Source organism: Homo sapiens, chromosome 10 (genome assembly GCF_000001405.40).
Source record: "Homo sapiens chromosome 10, GRCh38.p14 Primary Assembly".
NCBI classification, from domain to species: domain Eukaryota; kingdom Metazoa; phylum Chordata; class Mammalia; order Primates; family Hominidae; genus Homo; species Homo sapiens.
In genome coordinates this window covers 95,879,477-95,898,566 of record NC_000010.11, presented here as the reverse complement: position 1 = coordinate 95,898,566, position 19,090 = coordinate 95,879,477, and the positions used below count along the sequence as shown (strand labels likewise).

General features: G+C 38.1%; 1 long non-coding RNA gene across 1 annotated transcript in view, besides 2 other annotated features; it reads left to right on the top strand.

Annotated features, from left to right (window-relative positions):
* ENTPD1-AS1 (ENTPD1 antisense RNA 1) overlaps positions 1-19,090 on the top strand; it is a 337,030-nt gene that overhangs the window by 191,669 nt on the left and 126,271 nt on the right. The window lies entirely within an intron of this gene.
* Positions 2,188-2,388: a silencer, noted in NCBI's record as "peak1059 fragment used in MPRA reporter construct". NCBI's record gives its function as "represses an SCP1 promoter by STARR-seq MPRAs in K562 erythroleukemia cells {active_cell/tissue: K562}" and the evidence as "EXISTENCE:reporter gene assay evidence [ECO:0000049][PMID:32103011]".
* Positions 12,867-13,026: a silencer, noted in NCBI's record as "fragment chr10:97645298-97645457 (GRCh37/hg19 assembly coordinates)". NCBI's record gives its function as "represses an EF-1alpha promoter that drives an FKBP-Casp9 reporter gene in an ReSE screen in HepG2 liver carcinoma cells {active_cell/tissue: HepG2}" and the evidence as "EXISTENCE:reporter gene assay evidence [ECO:0000049][PMID:32094911]".

Here is a 19,090-nt window from a genome sequence, read left to right as displayed (position 1 = left end):
GCGTCCCAAAGTGCTAGGATTACAGGCGTGAGGCACCACATCTGGCAAGAATTTTTTTTTTAATACTGCACTTGGAAAGTGAATTAAGATATTCTCTTGGTTATTTTAATATTAATTTCAGAATTGCCCATGAATAATCTCTTAGCAATGTTTTTAGTCCTTCATATACTCATACAATATTCTTTTTCTAAAAACCATTGGTTGTGCAAAGAGGAAAAAAAACACTGAACTTATCCTTTTAAAAAAGCAAAATAACTAGAAGGAAATATAGTTGCAAATAGGAAAAGTGAAAAAGGGACAGAGAAACAAAAGGAGGGAAAGACAGCAATATGATGAAAACGGAAGAAATAAAAACGTAAGTGAGATGGGTATTACAACAGTAATTTTTGAACTTTAACAGAGAAATCTTTCAATTAAATCTTGCTCCGAAGCCCGTTATATAAAGCAGATATGGTAAGTGGGGAGTTGGGTTGGTTGAAGCAGGGGATTGAGGATCCAGACTTAGTCCACTTGACATGATAATTATTCTCCTTCCTTCACTTTCCACCCACAGACTAAGGGGCAGAAGGACACTTCGAAGAGCAGAATTTTAAAACCCTGCTCTAGAGGAAAATAATTTTTAGACCTTATGAGAAAACTAAAAATTGCAGTGACAAGATATGAAAGCATCTGTCTTAGCAGTTCACATGAAAAAGTGGAATTTTACTAGATGCAGTATGATGCCAGTGATTAAAAAGCTAATGCACTTTTAAAGTCTGATATTTTAAAGTTCCAGATTTAAGTCAAAGGAAATAGTAGTTTTACTATGCATGTGGATGGTTCTACCATTTTTCAAGTGTTGAGTTCAATGGTAATACTAAATTTTCTTTCTTTTTTTTTTTTTTGAGATGGAGTCTCGCACTGTCGCCCCAGTTGGAGTGTAATGGTGCGATCTCGGCTCACTGCAAGCTCCGCCTCCCGGGTTCATGCCATTCTCCTGCCTCAGCCTCCTGAGTAGCTGGAACTACAGGTGCCCGCCACCACGCCCGGCTAATTTTTTGTATGTATTTTTAGTAGAGACAAGGTTTCACTGTGTTAGCCAGGATGGTCTCGATCTTCTGACCTCGTTATCCGCCCGCCTCAGCCTCCCAAAGTGCTGAGATTGCAGGCGTGAGCCACCGCACCCGGCCTATAATACTACATTTTAAATCACTAAAAATTCAAGATGGATAATGACTGAGTCTCATGTCTCCTATAATATAGTAGTAAGACAGTTAAATTCTTTCAAGACTTCAGTTTTTGACCTCCACAAAGACAGCAATTAGAAATTGATTTTCTGAGGTCCCCTTTGGCTCCAAAATGCAATGATTAAAGTTTTCATTGACCCTGCTTACTGCCTTTATAGAAATAATTCCCAATATGTGGAAAGGGAATGCAGAGAATCTTAAATGGGACATAATCACTACAGTTGTTTGTATTTGGAGTATATAGAATTAGAGCCAATGACAACAAGGTGGATTTTTTTTTTATTGTTTAGTTTAATACTTTTACAACCTTAATTTTAAGGGATAAGAGACCATTTTCAGCTTAGGTGTTGATAGTGCTAGAGTTTCAAAGTGTGGAATATGTGATAAAGGATTTTTATGTAAAATTAGACATAGTATTAAAACCAGAGCTAGACAGTAAAGAAAGCAGTAAAAAATAGATTTTACTCAGGAACTATTGGAATAAAGTAAGGGACTTGAGTATAGAACTGTGCTCAGTTCTGAAAAGAAGAAGAATAAGGGGGGATTCATACCAAGGAACAGAGTGGGGTCGGTGGATGGAAAATTCCTAGGAGGAAACATCAAGGTAAGAGGTAATTCTGGTTAAACAGACCTAACAGGATTCTTGCTGAAGGCAGGCCAGGATGATCAGACAACACCTCGGGGGCAATGGAGGATGAGGAATTTGATCAGATATTGAAGGAGGTCAGATATGAGGATGGGATTCTTACAAAACTGACTTAACAGGATTCTTGCTCTTGAGGACAAGGCCCAAGTACCGGGCCTAGTAGAGAATGGGCTCAAAGGAACCTGACTAAATTTTGCTTAAGGAGAGTCTTTGTCAGTAGTCATCATACTTAAATTGTTTATTTTTGCCAAGTACCTCTTACCAAAGCTTTATAAGCATTTAATTGTGCTTCTCATTATGAGAACAGATAAAAGAAAAGGCTATTAAAAGAAAAGGAATTGTTATTAGCCAATTCATAAAGTAGGAGAGAGTTGTTAGACCCAAGATTTCAGAGTAAGAAAAAAAAAATGACGCCACTGGGACTTCTGCTTTCAGATAAGAGGAAGTAACAGGGACCAGATTAACCCTCCCACCTGAAACAACAAAAAAAAAAGTGAAGAAAATATATGAAACAACAATTTCCAAGAAGTTGGATATCAGGCAATGAAGGACAGTGATCTCTGAGAAATGTTCCAGCTTGCTGCCTTGAGAGAGTTTCCAGGTCATGGTGCAGAAAGTGGGAATCATGATGGAGCAAGTCACTGCCAAGTTAAGGGGACAGAACTGAGACGCCTGGGAAACCAAGGCAGCTAGCACTGGACAAGAGAGTACTGCCCAGGGAGAGTATTCTAGGGTACTCTTTACCAACCCTCAGATACTTTCCTGGAATGCAGAAGGTTTCCCTGCATTTCAGGAAAGTACCTGAGGCTGGAGAAAGAGCTACTCTAGAAGATTAGAAGGAACAGTACTTGGAGCTCACTTAGGGCTGGCAATAGGGACTTTTCCCACCAGCCATTATGAGGTTATGGAAAACCTCATAATTCACAGGATACTGGGTAGCATTCAGAAGAGCCTTGTCTCAATAGTGGGAAATAATGAGCCCTAGACTAAACACTACTCTGATCTATGGAAAACCTCATAATAGTAAGGAATAATGAGCTCTAGACTAAACACTACTCTGATCTATGGAAAACCTCATAATTCACAGGATGCTGGGTAGAGTTCAGAAGGGCCTTGTCTCAATAGTGGGGAATGAACTCTAGACTAAACACTACTCTGATCTTACCTAATAAGTCTTAACAGCGAGACCTGAAAGGATCAAACTGTTTCCAAGTAACTGCTTCCTGAAACAAAGCTTAAGAGTATTTGTAGGAATCCAAAAAAGATACAGTCCTATGAGTTTGGGTTACTTTTCTCCTTCTAATTTTTCTGTTTCTGTTCTGAAAATGTGGGAGGTTGCATGGGATAATGAAAAAAGTATTAGATTAGAAATCAGGAGAGCTGAGTTTTTGTCTAGTTCTGCTACCGACTTACCATGTGACCATGGTCAAGGTTTTCTTTTTTCTTGTCACAAGTGACCCCAGTACATGGAGGGATTTGGATCAAACAAATTCTGAAAAATTCTTAAACTCTAAAATGAAATTGTCTTCAGGCCTTCTATATTTGCTCAAAAGAATCAGGAACACTAAAATGCAGAAAAGATTACTTGATTCTACTTAGTTTTACTAATTGTTTTATCAAGCATAAGGGATTCTAATTTGTTACAAAAATTTAAATCATTTAAAATCAATTTGTGAATTTCTCTTAAAGTTAGTCATTTACTGGATAAACCAAATTATATATGATGTTTATTCATTTTAATATTTTTTATTTCAATAGTTTTTGGGGAACAGGTGATGTTTGCTTACGTGCAGAAGTTCTTTAGTGGTGATTTCTGAGATATTGGTGCACCCATCACCCAAGCAGTGTACACTGTACCCAATGTATACTCTTTTATCCCTCATCCCCTCTCCCAGCCTTTCCCCCAAGTCCCCAAAGTTCATTGTATCATTCTTATGCCTTTGTGTCCTCATAGCTTAGCTCCCACTTATGAGTGAGAACATACGATATTTGGTTTTCCATTCCTGAGTTACTTCACTTAGAATAATGGTCTCCAGTTCCATCCAGGTTGCTACAAATGCCATTATTTCATTCCTTGTTGTGGCTGAGTGGTATTCCCTCGTGGGTGTGTGTGTGTGTGTGTGTTTGTGTGTGTGTGTATACACACCACATTTTCTTTATCCACTCGTTGATTGATGGGCATTTGTACTGGTTCCATATTTTTGCAGATTTTGCAATTGTGAATTGTGCTGCTGTAAACAAGTGTGTGTAAGTATCTTTTTTGTATAATGACTTCTTTTCCTCTGGGTAGATACCCAGTAGTGGGATTGCTGGATCAAATGTAGTTCTACTTTTAGTTCTTTAAGGAATCTCCACACTGTTTTTCATAGTGGTTGTACTAATTTACATTCCCACCAGCAGTGTAAAAGTGTTCCCTTTTCACCACATCCACACCAACATCTATTTATTTTTATTTTTTTGATTATGGCTATTCTTGCAGGAGTAAGGTAGTATTGCATTGTGGTTTTGATTTGCATTTCCCTGATAATCAGTGATGTTGAGCATTTTTTCATATGTTCGTTGGCCATTTGTATATCTTATTTTGAGAATTGTCTATTCATGTCCTTAGCCCACTTTTTGATGGGACTGTTTGTTTTTTTCTTGCTAATTTGTTTGAGTTCCTGTAGATTCTGGATATTAGTCCTTCATTGGATGCATAGATTGCAAAGATTTTCTCCCACTCTGTGGGTTGTCTGTTTACTCTGCTGATTACTATTATTATTATTATTATTATTATTATCTTGCTGTGCAGAAGCTTTTTAGCTTAATTAAGTCCCATCTATTTATCTTTGTTACATTTGCTTTTGGGTTCTTGGTTATGAAGTCTTCGCCTAAGCCGATGTCTAAAAGGGTTTTTCCAATGTTATCTTCTAGAATTTTTATGGTTTTAGGTCTTAGATTTAAGTCTTTTATCCATCTTGAATTGATTTTTGTATAAGGTAAGAGATGAGGATCCAGTTTCATTCTTCTACATGTGGCTTGCCAATTATCCCAGCACAATTTGTTGAATAGGGTATCCTTTCCCCACTTTATGTTTTTGTTTGCTTTGTTGAAGATCAGTTGGCTGTAAGTGTTTGACTTTATTTCTGGGTTCTCTCTTCTATTCCATTGGTCTATGTGCCTCTTTTTATACCAGTGCCATGCTGTTTTGGTTATTATGGCCTTATAGTATGAAGTCGGGTAATGTGATATCTCCAGATTTGTTCTTTTTGCTTAGTCTTGCTTTGACTATGTGGGCTCTTTTTTGGTTCCATATGCATCTTAGGATTGTTTTTTCTAGTTCTGTGAAGAATGACAGTGGTATTTTGATGGGAATGCATTGAATTTACAGATTGCTTTTGGCGGTATGGTCATTTTCACAATATTGAATCTACCCATCCATGTACATGGGATGTGTTTCCATTTGTTTGTTGGTTAGGTATTTAACATACCATATAATTCACCCACTTCAAGCATACAATTTAATGATTTTTATTAAATTTACCTATTTATGCATCTATTACTGTACATCAGTTTTAAAACACTTCTATCTCCCTAATAAGAACCTTCATGTTCATGAATTGTTCATTCCTATTCCCCCACCCCAGGCAACAATTAATGTAGTTTCTGTCTCTAGAGATTTGTCTCATGTGGACATTTCATATAAATGGAATCATACAATATTGGTCTCTTGTGTTTGGCTTCTTTCGTTTAGCATAATGTTTTTGAGGTTTGTCCATGATATACAGCATATATCAGTAGTTCATTTGTGTTTTTGCTGAATAATAGTACATTATATGGATATACCACATTTTGTCTACCTATTCATCAGTAGGTGGTGTGAAAGGAAAATTAATCTTGGGGCCCCAAAATCACTAAGCTAAAGGGAAAAGTCAGGCCTGGACTGCTTAGGGCAAACCGGCCTCCCATTGTATTCAAAGTCACCCCTCTACTCACTGAGATAAATGCATATCTGATTGCTTCCTTTGGAGAGGCTAATCAGAAACTCAAAAGAATGCAGCCATTTGTCTCTTATCTACTTATGACCTGGAAGCCCCCTCCCAGCTTTGAGTTGTCCCACCTTTCCAGACAAAACCAGTGTTCATCTTATATATTTGATTTATGTCTCATGTCTCCCTAAAATGTATAAAACCAAACTGTGCTCTATCTTGGCCACATGTCATCAGGACCTCCTGAGGCTGTCTCACAGGCACATGTCCTCAACTTTGGCAAAATAAACTTTCTAAATTAACTGAGACCTATCTCAGATATTCAGGGTTCACAGTGGACATTTCAGTTGTTTCCCATTTTTGGCTACTGTTAATAAGGTTGCTAAGAACATTCATATGGAGGTCTTTGTATGGATATATGTTTTCATTTCTCATGGATTGATATCTAGGAGTGAAATTTCTGGGTCATATGGTAAATTTATATTTAACTTTTAAACAAATTGCCCAACTATTTAAGGTGAGTTTAGCCTTGCCAATATTTGTTATTGTCTATCATTTTTATTTATTATTTTAGTGGGTTTGAAAGGGTATGTCATTGTGCTTTTAATTTGCATTTCCCTATTTATAATTTGCATTTTGTATTCCTGAGTGGCTTTCTGCCATTATCCCATTTAGATTCATTCTTTACAATAAAGCTTAAGATTATTGGCAATAGAATTTAATTATCACTATAAGAATAGATCACTACCCCATTTCCCTTTTTATTAGTCTTTGCCTTATTCTTAGAAAAATTTTCCTTTTTTTTTTAAAGAAAAAAATCTTTCATTTCTACAGAATGTGATTCCTTTTTAGCTCTAGGATCTCACTGTCCCTATCACTTTCCTCTCTGGCATCTTAAATCTCCCTTGCCGCTTTCCTCTTACTTTCAAATATACCTAGAAGTATTCTGTTGGTTTCTATTCTCTTGTATGAACTACTATTCCACTTTCTTGTTGTGCCTATTGTCAAACATTTGAAAACACCTTGGCTGTGATCACCACCTCCATTTCTTTACTGTCCCATTCTCTTCTTAAATGTGTGGTTTGTTTTCACCACTTAATGAAATTGCCTTCTCAGAAATCACCAACAATCTAGCCAAATCCTGCAGCCTTTTCTTTGCAGCATCTGGCATCTACACATACAGATTGAGAATGCCAAATCCAAATATCTGAAAATTGAAATGCTCCGAAATATGGAACTTTTTGAGCACCAAACTGACACTCAAAGGAAATGATCATTAGAGCATTTCAGATTTCAGATTTTGGGATTATGGATGCTCAACTGGCATAGTGCAAATATGCCAAAATCCACAAAAATCTGAAATCTGAAACACTTCTGGGCATTATGGATGAGGGATCCTCAACCTGTACTTATATTTTTTTATTTTGAACACAGTAATTATCCAGGTTTGCCTCTTTTCTGATAGCTCTCAATCACTTTGGTTGTCTCCTATTCTTCTCACTGTAGAGGTTTTATAAAACTCTTTCTTTGGCTTTGCTTTTATTCCCATTCTCTTGTCACTTTGGCTGTCATGTCTGCCAGATGACCCCTAAATGTTTCGCATACCTCAGTTATGTACAAAATCCCCACTTCTCTAAGGAACACTTTCTTTTCAAATCACAGGTCTTTGGGATAGTTTATATAGCTCATAAAAAGAATGAATGTTTTATGTATATTTGTTTCTTTGACACCATATCTGTTTTGTTTGCATTATGATCTTTCAGTGTTTCATAAGCTAAATAAAATCAAACCAGAAACTGAATTTTGCCTGAAAGCTAGGGATTTCCTTCTCAGTATTTATTCAGGTATTCTGGGAGGAAAATTTATTGGTTCCTAATTTCTTATAAGAGCTGCTTGATAAAATGTTCTCTCCTTATAGTCTTCTTCCCTTTGCAACCTTTTACTTGTGCTTGTTTTTAGTCCCTACCTAAAGAAATGTTCTTCCCAATAGATGACATCTGAAAATTAACAATACCAGAAAATTAACTCTGGGGATCTTTTACTAGAATTCATATAAGTCATTTTCTGAGCTCATGTCAACATTAATATCCATCTAAGGTTGTGATTGCTATTTATAGATACTAATATATAATTTTTCCCTGAGAAGATTGCTTTTATAACATGCCTGGATGTCAGTTTTCTACTTTATGAAACTAAGCAACACTGGAACAATTCAAAAATCTTAGTGTCTTTTAGCCTAAACTCAGTGGCATATTCCTAAAGAATACTTTCCATTTAATTTTATCTTCTCTAATGAAGATAATGGTATTCATGCAACATCTTTTATATGCTGTATGGTACTCAAGCAACATCTTTTATATGCTGCTTAGCAACTCTGTTAAGCACCTCTATGTGCCAGGCATACAGCTCAACACTAGACCTACAGAGGTCAGAAGGAGCCCTTGCCTTCAAGGAGATAGGTAAGTAAACCAGCAAATAGACACTTTATCCATTCCACAAGTGTTTATGGAATACCTACTGTGTCCTGGCACTCTGCTTAGCTCTGAGGATTCAGCAATGAATAAGACAGGTGTGAAAATAAGTAATTCAAAATCTAAGCTGTTGGAACTCCAAACTATTTTGATCCTTAAAGAAATGTGATTATGGGGCCTGAGTCACGTTACAAGCAGCTGTAACCTGGGAAGCTGTAATCTTTGTTTCTATGATTATAGATTAACCTTCCTCCTTGCTTACATTGTTGTACAAAATGTTACAAATGACTAAAGGGCTCCAGGAAAGACCCCTTCCCTGTTACTGTTGATTTTTATTATAGATTAACTTCCCTTTTAGTTTCTCACCCAAAGGTTTCATGGCTATCACACCGTGTTAAGATGGAGTGTTAAATACCTCTTTTAAATCAGAAAGGAAATGAAAACCAACTGTAAAGAAAACAAGCCATACAGAAAAGAAACTCATAAACTAGCGTTCTAGAAAATGTTATAAACCTACTAAACTTCTTTGTTTTCTGCCTATATATGCAATAATTTAACTTTGAACTTTGGAACACTGACTCTATTTCTCTGGAGTCTGTGTCTCCCAAATGGCTATTCCCAGCTTTTTACTTGAATAATCTCGACTGGATTTTGATCCTTTTGATTATTTCAGGTTAACCCAGACCAGGCCATGAAGATTGTAAATCTGTGTGGGCTTGCAAGGCCTTATATGATGGGATTTTGCACTTGCTGTTTCCTCTGCCTAGAATGCTTTATCTTTGCATGGCTCGGTTCAAATGTCACCTTCTCAGAGGGCCAGCCTTCCATGACTGTCTTATTTAGTGCTGTTCCTCTCTTCTAGTCACTGTTGATTGTATGATCTTGATTTCCTTCAAAGCACTTATTACTATCAGAGATGATGTGTGTACTTGCTTTTGGTCTGTCCCTCTTGAGGACAGGGACTTTGATTGATTTGGTATCTCTAAGTGTTTAAACGGTATCTGGAATATTTTGGGCACCTAAAACACATTTGATGATGGGATGAAACAACGAATGTGTGGATGGTGCTGGAGAAAGGCATTCAACAAATAAGGCAATTTCAGATAGTGAAAGTATGGGTACTCAGAGAAGGTTAATGGAGAAGTGGAGTCAGTATTCTGATGTCTGAGCAGAAATGTAAAGGAAGAGTTGGCTAGGCAAAGAAAACAATGTAAGCTGGATCACAGAGGTGTGAAAGCATGGCGCATGGGGGATTCACAAGTAGTGAGAATGCCTAGATTATAGGTTCACCTAGGGGCAGATAGCAAGGGTGAGAGCTCCAAGGAGCTGACTTGTCTTACGAAGATTTGAATTGCAACCTAAAGGCAAAATGTAGTCACAGAGGCATTTTATGTAGAAGTCACATAATAAGTTATGTATCTTAGATCATTCTGGCACCAGAGAGTAAGATAGATTCGAATAGATAGGTTACATGTAGGAAAAAAGGTATTTTCCCTGCTCTCACACAGCTACTCAACACTTCTGACTCCAGATGTGTGGGGATTTTCCCACAAACATCAAGCAGTTCTGCTATGTACACCATCTGGGTGTCCGCTAATTCAATTCTGTTGACACTATCTACCTGGAGATAGCATCAGATCCCATAGGTTGAGGACTTAGTCTTACAAAACTGTCCCCCACTTCAGATGCCAATCACAAGCCCCAGGTTGCAGTCTGTACTTCTGACAACTATAAATCAGAGTTCCCACAACCCCTCCTAAATCATTCTATTAATTTCCTAGAGTGACTCACAGTATGCGGGGAAACACTTATGTTTACCCATTCATTAAAAAGGACATTGCAAAGGATACAGAGGAACAACCAGACAAGAGATGCACAGGGCAAAGTACGCGGGAAGGGGAGCCAGGCTTCCATGCCCTTTCCAGGCAAGCCACCTTCTAGGAACCTCCGCATGTTCAGCTATCCAGAAGTTGTCCAAACCCAAGCCTTTTGTATTTTTATGGAAGCTTCGTTAGGTAGGATGATGGATTAAATTACTGGCCATTGGCAAGGAGATTAACCTACAGCCTTTCTCCCCTCCCCAAAGGTTGGGGGATAGAGCTGAAAGTCCCAACACTTTAATCCTGCCTTGGTTTTTCTGAGGACCAGTCCCCGTGCTGAGGCTATCAGGGGCCCCAATCACCAGTCATCTCAGTAGTATACAAAAGGCACTCTTACCACTCTGGAGATTCCAAGGGTTTTGGGAGTTGTATGTCAGGAAATGGACTATGACCAAATATATGTTTCACAGTATCGAAGAATGGAAGTAGGTTGGGGGCACAGAGATTAGTGTGGGAACAATTACAGAAATTAAAGGAAAAATTAATTAGGGGCCTAATCTAAGGCAGTGGCAGAAGAGATGGTGAGGAAAACAGTTGAAGATTTTTAAAGAGAGACTTATTAAAATAATGGCAAAGAGATGTAGGTGAGTGAGTTGGGGGGAAGAATGGGTTGATTCCCAGGTTTCTCACTTGGTACCAATCACCCAGGTTGATGCATTAAGTAGAGAAGAGATAATTAGCTTCACCAGCTCTCAAAGTCATTGAACTGCTGGGGCACAGGTGCCTGCAGTTGTGTACGTAGTCCTTTGGCTAAAATCTGAAGGATAACCCTCGTAATGCTTTAATGAAACACAGCTTTGCTCATCTTGGCAACCTGTGCTGACTGCTGTCTATAAAACTTCTAGCTGTACCAGTTTGGGTGTAAGGATATGGTGTTTGTCTTCTAAGAAATCTTAGCTACTGGCCAGGCACAGTAGCTCACACCTGTGATCCCAGCACTTTGGCTGAGCCAGGAGGATCACTTGAGCCCAGGAGTTCAAGACCAGCTTGGGCAACATAGGAAGATCCCACCTCTACAAAAAATAAAAATTTAGCTGGGTGTGGTAGTGTGTACCTTGGTCCAAGCTACTTGGGAGGTTGAGGCAGGAGGATCACTTGAGCCTGGGAGGTTGAGTGTGCAGTGAGCCATGGTGGTGCCACTGTACTCCAGCCTGGGTGACAGAGTGAGACTCTGTCTCTCAAAAAAAGAAAAAGTCCTGGGTACCTATTAGAGAACAAAGTTATTCCCTCAACAGGCAATTCAGATGCTTATTTTCTTTTGTTCCTAGAATAGAGTTTTGAACTTAATTATACATTAGAATTTATTATGACATTTTTTTAACCTGATGTCTGGTCCCATCCAAGAGCAATTACATCAAAATTAAAAAGTGATCATTTCATGTACCCATGTCTGAGAACCTTCTAGATTCACTGCCCTCATGAATCAGAGTTCTATTTTACATCCCTACTTTTTGGGTTGATACTTGGACCAGAGAGGAAATTGGAAATTTGAGTTTGTGATCAGTGCCAATGGGTTGATTTTCCATTGCTGCTATTACAAATTATCGCAAATTTAGTGGCTTAAAAAACCTTACAGTTCCGTAGGTTAGAAGTCCAACGAGGGTCTCAGTGGGCTAAAATCAGGTGTCACCAGGCCTGCATTCTTTCCTGGAGGCCCTACAGGGGATTTGTTTCCTTGCCTTTTGCAGCTTCTAGATGCCACCCACACTTCATGGATATTGGCCCCCTTCCTTCATCTTCAAAGTCAACAACTTTGCATCTCTGTGTAACTTTCACCCATAGTCACATCTCCACAGCCAGAAAGGTTCTCCAGTTTTAAGAGCCTATGTAATTAGATTGTAAATATGGACCAGCTTTGACTAGCCATTTTAGGTCAAATACTACTTCGGTTCTTCATAAATATTTGTTGGACTGAATTGAAAATATGAGGTTTAAGCGTTTGTCTAGTTTAAAAGGATGACACTGGTCTTGGGGACCCACAAATGACTACTTTTGTTGTTTTCCCACTGTCTAGCTTTAAGTGATCTGTCTTTTCTGGGAGTCATTTTTTTTTTTTTTTTTTTTTTTTTTTTTTTTTGAGACAGAGTCTCACCCTGTCACCCAGGCTGGAGGATAGTGGCACGATTTCGGCTCACTGCAACCTCCACCTCCTGGGTTCAAGCGATTCTCCTGCCTCTGCCTCCCAAGTAGCTGGGACTACAGGCACACACCACCATGCCTGGCAAATGTTTTTTTTGTATTTTTAGTAGAGACAGGGTTTCACCATGTTGGCCAGGCTGGTCTCAACTGCCTCACCTCAGGTGATCTGCCCACCTCGACTTCCCAAAGTGCTGGGATTACAGGCATGAGCCACAACACCTGGCCCACTTTTCTTTTCTATAAAATGAAAAATTTGGATTTGATGATTGCAAGGTCCCATGAACATTTAAAATACGCTTGGGTACTTCTAGGACCCAAATATTGGTTACATACTACTGCTTACATGATTTTGATTTTCTGTGAGGCTGTAGAGCTAACATGAAAATAAACTGCCTGAAAATTTTAAGAAACACCTACCAGGTCTGGGTTCCAACGAATGATAGCTGAAAAGGAAATTCAGGTGTCTAGGTAAGCTACAGCTCAGAAAGAGGAAAGGCTTGTAGAGGGTGAGTATCAAGATATTTCAGACTAGAGGGCTGGATGCAGTGGTTCATGCCTGTAATCCCAGCACTTTGGAAGGCCGAGGTGGGTAGATCACCTGAGGTCAGCAGTTCCAGACTAGCCTGGCCAACGTGGTGAAACCCTGTCTTTACTAAAAATACAAAAATTAGCCGGGCATGGTGGCAGGCGCCTGTAATCCCAGCTACTTGGGAGGCTGAGGCAGGAGAATCGCTTGAAGCTGGGAGGCAGAGCTTGCAGTGAGCCAAGATCATGCCATTTGCACTCCAGCCTGGGCAACAAGAGCGAAACTCTGTCTCAAAAAAAAACAAAAAAACCCAGATATTTCAGACTAAATGTAGTCCTCAGAAAAAGGCAGGTCCTGCTCAAGTAATTTGGAGGTCAGTATTGGAAAGAAAACTAGAGTTATCTGGGAGGATTTATTCAAACTGGCCAGAAATAATTTGAATTAGGAATAGATTAGACTTAAGTAAAATTTTCCTGAACTCATGTTGACTCATGTACTAAATAGAACAGGGCTGGCCACTGCTTTGTACTTAAAATCAATTACCTCGTTGGAAAGAGACAATATAACTTTTTGGCTGTCTTAGTTAAGACTGCTGTTAACAAAAATACCATACACTGGGTAGTGTAAACAACAGAAATTTATTCCTTACAGTTCTGACAGCTGGGAAGTTCAAGATCAAGATGCCAGCTCATTCAGTTCCTGGTGAAGGCTCTCTTCCTGGTTTGCAAACAGACACCTTCTTGCTGTATCCTCACATATCCAAGAAAGAGATCATCTCTTTTATGTCTCTTCTTATAAGAGCACTATTCCCATTCATGAGAGCTCCACCCTCATGACCTAATTACTCCTCAAAGTCTCCACATTTAAATGCCATCACACTTGAGGATTAGGGCTTCAACATATAAATTTTAGGGGCACACAAACATTCAGTCCATAGCATTAACTAAGAACATGGGCTGCACAGCCAGAAAGCCTATGTTTAAATTTCACTGCTTCCACTTTATGATTTTTGTACTGCAGTTTTCTGAACTATAATATGGAGATAATACCTCACAGGTTGTTGTAAGAATTAAATGAGTTAATACAAGTAAAGCTCTTAGCACAGTGCCAAATATGGTAGGAGCTCAATAAGTGTTAGCTATTAGCTCTGAGATTTATACCTCAAATAGTCATTACTTATGTACTAAAGGACTGTACAGGAATCCCTATCCAGCTAAAATTCCTTTTAAACAAAATTATAATATGCATAATTTTTTCTGTAGAATTTCAGATTGATTATATGCATCTTATAAGTGATGAAGTAAAAACATGTTTAAAGTCATGGGATACTTGTGTATTATCTACAACAAGAAAAAAATGGAATTTATAACCATCTATTGAAGCAAGAGTTCTTGAAAAGTCTCTAATGAAGAGAGGAATAGTAAGCAAAATTAGTACTAAATCTCCACTATTAAAGATATTAAAATGCCATTATTATCTTGTATACTGTTTTGATTATATTTTGGTGAAGCTAAAAATACTTATAAGGGCTCATTAGTTAATTCAGTACTTCAGTACCCATAACCTATTTCCCACTTCCTCTCTATCTCTTCCTTTAAACTTTCCTCATAGTGCCTATTCTTTAAACCCTTAATAATTTTTATGCTCTCTTGGCCACAGGAGAAAATGGGTATATCCTAACAATTGAAAATACTCTCTAAAATTGTGCTTGATGATGTATTATTCTTGTTTCCACTACGACAAATGGCAACATATCTATAGATTCCCAAGATATGAATGGTGTGTAGATTTGCCTTTTTCTTATTTTGTGTTCAGCTTATGTTTCTAAAAGCCTGTGACTGTTTCTGATTGAATTTTAAGCTTCTGTTGTTTATTGATATTTTTCTTCTAGTAATCTTGGAATGGGTGTCTGGGGTTCAGATGAAGATGCAAATCCCCCAACCAATAATTCTATGGAAGAATCCAGAGAATAGCCTCCAAATAAAGACTTTCATGGCATTAGTAACATGATTTTAAATGAATATTTTATAAAAATTATGAAACATATTTTTTAAATAATAGCAGAGTAGTGGGGGAAATCCATAGGATTGGGAATCAGGAAATTTGGGTTCAAATCTTAGCTCTGCCACTTGTTAATTGTATGTGACCTAGAGTAAGTGATAACTTTTTTAGGCCACAGATATTTAATTTATAACATACAGGAGATGGACCAGATCAGTTAGCTATTCTTATGCTGTATTCTAAAAACATAGTGTTTCATGAGATATTGTTAGTTTTACAGGAATAAAAAGTATTTTTTTAAGTCAAATAAGTTTGGGAAATGCAGCCCACTATGACCATGAACATTCACTCATTAAAAGCATTAGAAATCCTGAAGGAATTTATTAAATTGTATTTAGCTCAGCATTTTCCCAACTTATTTAAGCACAGAACTCACTTTTTTTCCCCACAGAACAAGCATTATGATATGGGACAGTAATGTTCTCCAAACTGGGAAATGTTGAAATAGATAATCTCTATGCTCTTCAAAATCTAAAATGCTATGATTCTTAGTAATAACTTGTATTTATTCTACCAATATATCAGAAACTGAATTAAGGTTTATCAAATGGTACTAGAATCTCTTCTATGACTTTCACATATAATGTGTGTGTGTGTGTATTTATAAACTGATAGAGACAATAGAAAAAAATCTTGCAATCTTCCCTATCTTTGAAAAGTTTTTGCACTCTGATGGCATTTTTCTCTATAAAACTAATTTCACAATACACAGTACTAGTTTAAATATAAGAAATAGTTTGTGTTTGTCTTTGGTTTGATTTTTTGAGAAAAAAAATGAAATATATAACTTATTTTTTTATTTTATTATTATTATACTTTAAGTTTTAGGGTACATGTGTACAATGTGCAGGTTAGTTACATATGTATACATGTGCCATGCTGGTGTGCTGCACCCATTAACTTGTCATTTAGCATTAGGTATATCTCCTAATGCTATCCCTCCCCCCTCCCCCCACCCCACAACAGTCCCCAGAGTGTGGTGTTCCCCTTCCTGTGTCCATGTGTTCTCAATGTTCAATTCCCATCTATGAGTGAGAACATGCGGTGTTTGGTTTTTTGTCCTTGCGATAGTTTACTGAGAATGATGATTTCCAATTTCATCCATGTCCCTACAAAGGACATGAACTCATCATTTTTTATGGCTGCATAGTATTCCATGGTGTATATGTTGTATATGTGCCACATATATAACTTATTTTGAATACACTGAGACTATCTACTGTGAACTGATTTAATACAAGTTAGAACAGACACAATTCTGAATTTTCTGTTTCCCAGGAGAAGGAGCACTTGAGCAATGCCAGGCACTGTTAGGCATTAGCCTCACAGGACATAACATACAGGAAGGGTGTACAGAGCTCAACTTCCCACAGCACTTCATATTGCCTTGACACAGTTCCTTTCCCTCACACAATCTCTGCTCTCCCATTCCAAGGAAGCATTTATCTTCAACATTGAAAATAACTATTATATTCCTGTTTCTTATAAATCCTTGGGAAAATCCCTCTTAGGAGTTAGTGCCAGAGGCCGGGCGTGGTGGCTCACACCTGTAATCCCAACACTTTGGGTGGCCAAGGAGGGCAGATCACGAGGTCAGGAGATTGAGACCATCCTGGCTAACACGGTGAAACCCTGTCTCTACTAAAAATATAAAAAATTAGCCGGGCGTGGTGGTGGGCACTTGTAGTCCCAGCTACTCGGGAGGCTGAGGCAGGAGAATGGTGTGAACCCAGGAGGCGGAGCTTGCAGTGAGCCGAGATCACACCACTGCACTCCAACCTGGGCAATAGAGCAAGACTCCGTCTCAAAAAAAAAAAAAAAAAAAAGTTAGTGCCAGAAATCGGTGATATTGTGGGGCTTGGAGGGTTATTTTTATTTAGGTTGGGTTTTGTTTTGTTTTTTAATGAAACTTTCCTTTATGTTCCTGTTGCTAGGAAGCACAGTTCTAATTTGTGGTCAATTATAGTATCTTATCCTAGGTCTTTAAAAGTTATCTTTTTTCATTCTAACTGATATCTATTGTTTTTTATCTCTATTTCAAGTTGGAGTGTTTTTTGTTATAAAACAGTTTAGCAGTTCCTTATAAAAATAGAAACAGACTTAGCATATGACCCAACAGTTTCACTCTTGGGCATTTATCCCAGAGAAATGAAAATTTTGTTCACTCATAAATCTGATATGAATGTTCATAGCAGCTTTATTTATAGTAACTAAGAACAAGAAACAGCCCAAATATGTTATTTATATAATAAATATTTTATGTTATCAGCTGAATGTCTTTAGGAGTAAGTTATATTTTGATTGTTTCTTCTGACATGAAGTCAGTACAATAAACCAGCATGTCATCAGCCACATTTGTAAGATTACTTCTTTAATGCATCAAATTACAGTAAAAGTGACCTGGTTATGACACATTCCTTTAAATGAAAAGATGCCGGGAAATGTGTTCACCAGTTTTTACTAAAAATTTATTAACACCAAAACAAGTTTGGAATTTTTAAAGCTTATAGTTACAGTCTGATAGCTGATAGTGATACAGGAGATAGAGATTATTTAGGCAGATAGTGAGGGCAAAAGAGTCCTTGGAAGACCCCTCTCTGTAGCAGAGAACTATTCTTTCACCTGTTAAATTTCTGATCTTAACCTCACTCTTTGTGTGTCTGCATCCTTGATCTCTGTGGCCGTCAGACAGCAAACCTCAGGTGTCACCCCAGACAACGAGGCTGCTTCAGTGGGAGGGTGTTTTGGGCTCACAAGTAGATAAAAAGGAGAAATGAAAATGAGGCACAACCCAATTTAGGAGACATCACACCAAAGTCATCTTGTGTCCTGCTGAATTGGGTAAAGGGAGATATTGCTAATACAATAGCATTTATCTTTTATTTATTGTTAAAATACTGGTAATTTATAGCATATTTCCCCTGCCACACATGGGTCTGGGAAAAAGTCAAGGCTTCTTAATGATCAATACCCTCAAAATGGTGTACAGATAAAGAATTATGATTATGCCAACAATGAACCTGTCCAAAGGCATAGGGATTTTGATGAATACCAGTGTAGTGATAGCATAGCAGAAAAGAGACACTTGAGAGACTGGGATTTTGCTAGCAAGGGACTAGGATCAAGATGTTCATTTTTTTTTTTTTTTTTGCTAATCATCAGTGTTACAATGTCTCCCAAGAGGAGATGGAGATCATTAACTGGGTGCCTAGAACAAAACCAAGACCATTTAATGATCACCAGCCTCACAGTGACCTCCATGAACCAGACCCTGGAGATGATTTTGATTTTGTTAGCAAAGCTTGTAGACAAAAGATGCATACTGTTCATAACCAGGCCTATAGTAACTTTCAGGAACACTTCCAATGAAAGATTTTGGTTTTGTTAACAGAGGCTGGAGATAAAAACAACTCTTCCATATAGCTGTGAGTACTCAACCTCATGGGGATTTTCAGAACCAGTTACCTGGACAAGGTTTTCATTACTTCAGTTGAAGTGGTTTGTAAAGGTAAAGACCTTTCCACCAACACTATTCTTATGATGAAATGAATTTGGAAGATTTAGAATGTACTGATGAAGTATCAGATCATACACTGGGACCTTTATATGATCATTCCAACAGTGATTTTTCAGAGAAAATGCCCTTGAAAAAATGTGTTAATAGAGGTTGTGGACAAAGATTGCCACTTTCTCAAAAATTTCAAAAACAAATGGAGTTAAGAAATTTTGTTTTCAACAATGGAACTGGACCAAGGCAAATATTTTACTATTACCACCCACCTAGTGAGCCACAAGAATAAATGCCATCAGAAGACTTGGACTTTGACCAAGAAACATTCTTTTTTTTTTTTTTTTTTTTTTTGAGACAGAGTCTCGTTCTTTTGCCCAGGCCAGACTGCAGTGGCGCTATCTCGGCTCACTGCAAACTCCACTTCCCGGGTTCACGCCATTCTCCTGCCTCAGCCTCCTGAGTAGCTGGGACTACAGGCACCCGCCACCACGCCCGGCTAATTTTTTGTATTTTTAGTAGAGACTGGGTTTCACCATGTTAGCCAGGATGGTCTCGGATCTCCTGATCTCGTGATCCGCCCACCTCGGCCTCCCAAAGTGCTGGGATTACAGGCGTGAGCCACCACGCCCAGCCCCAAGAAACATTCTTACAAAGACCAAGAT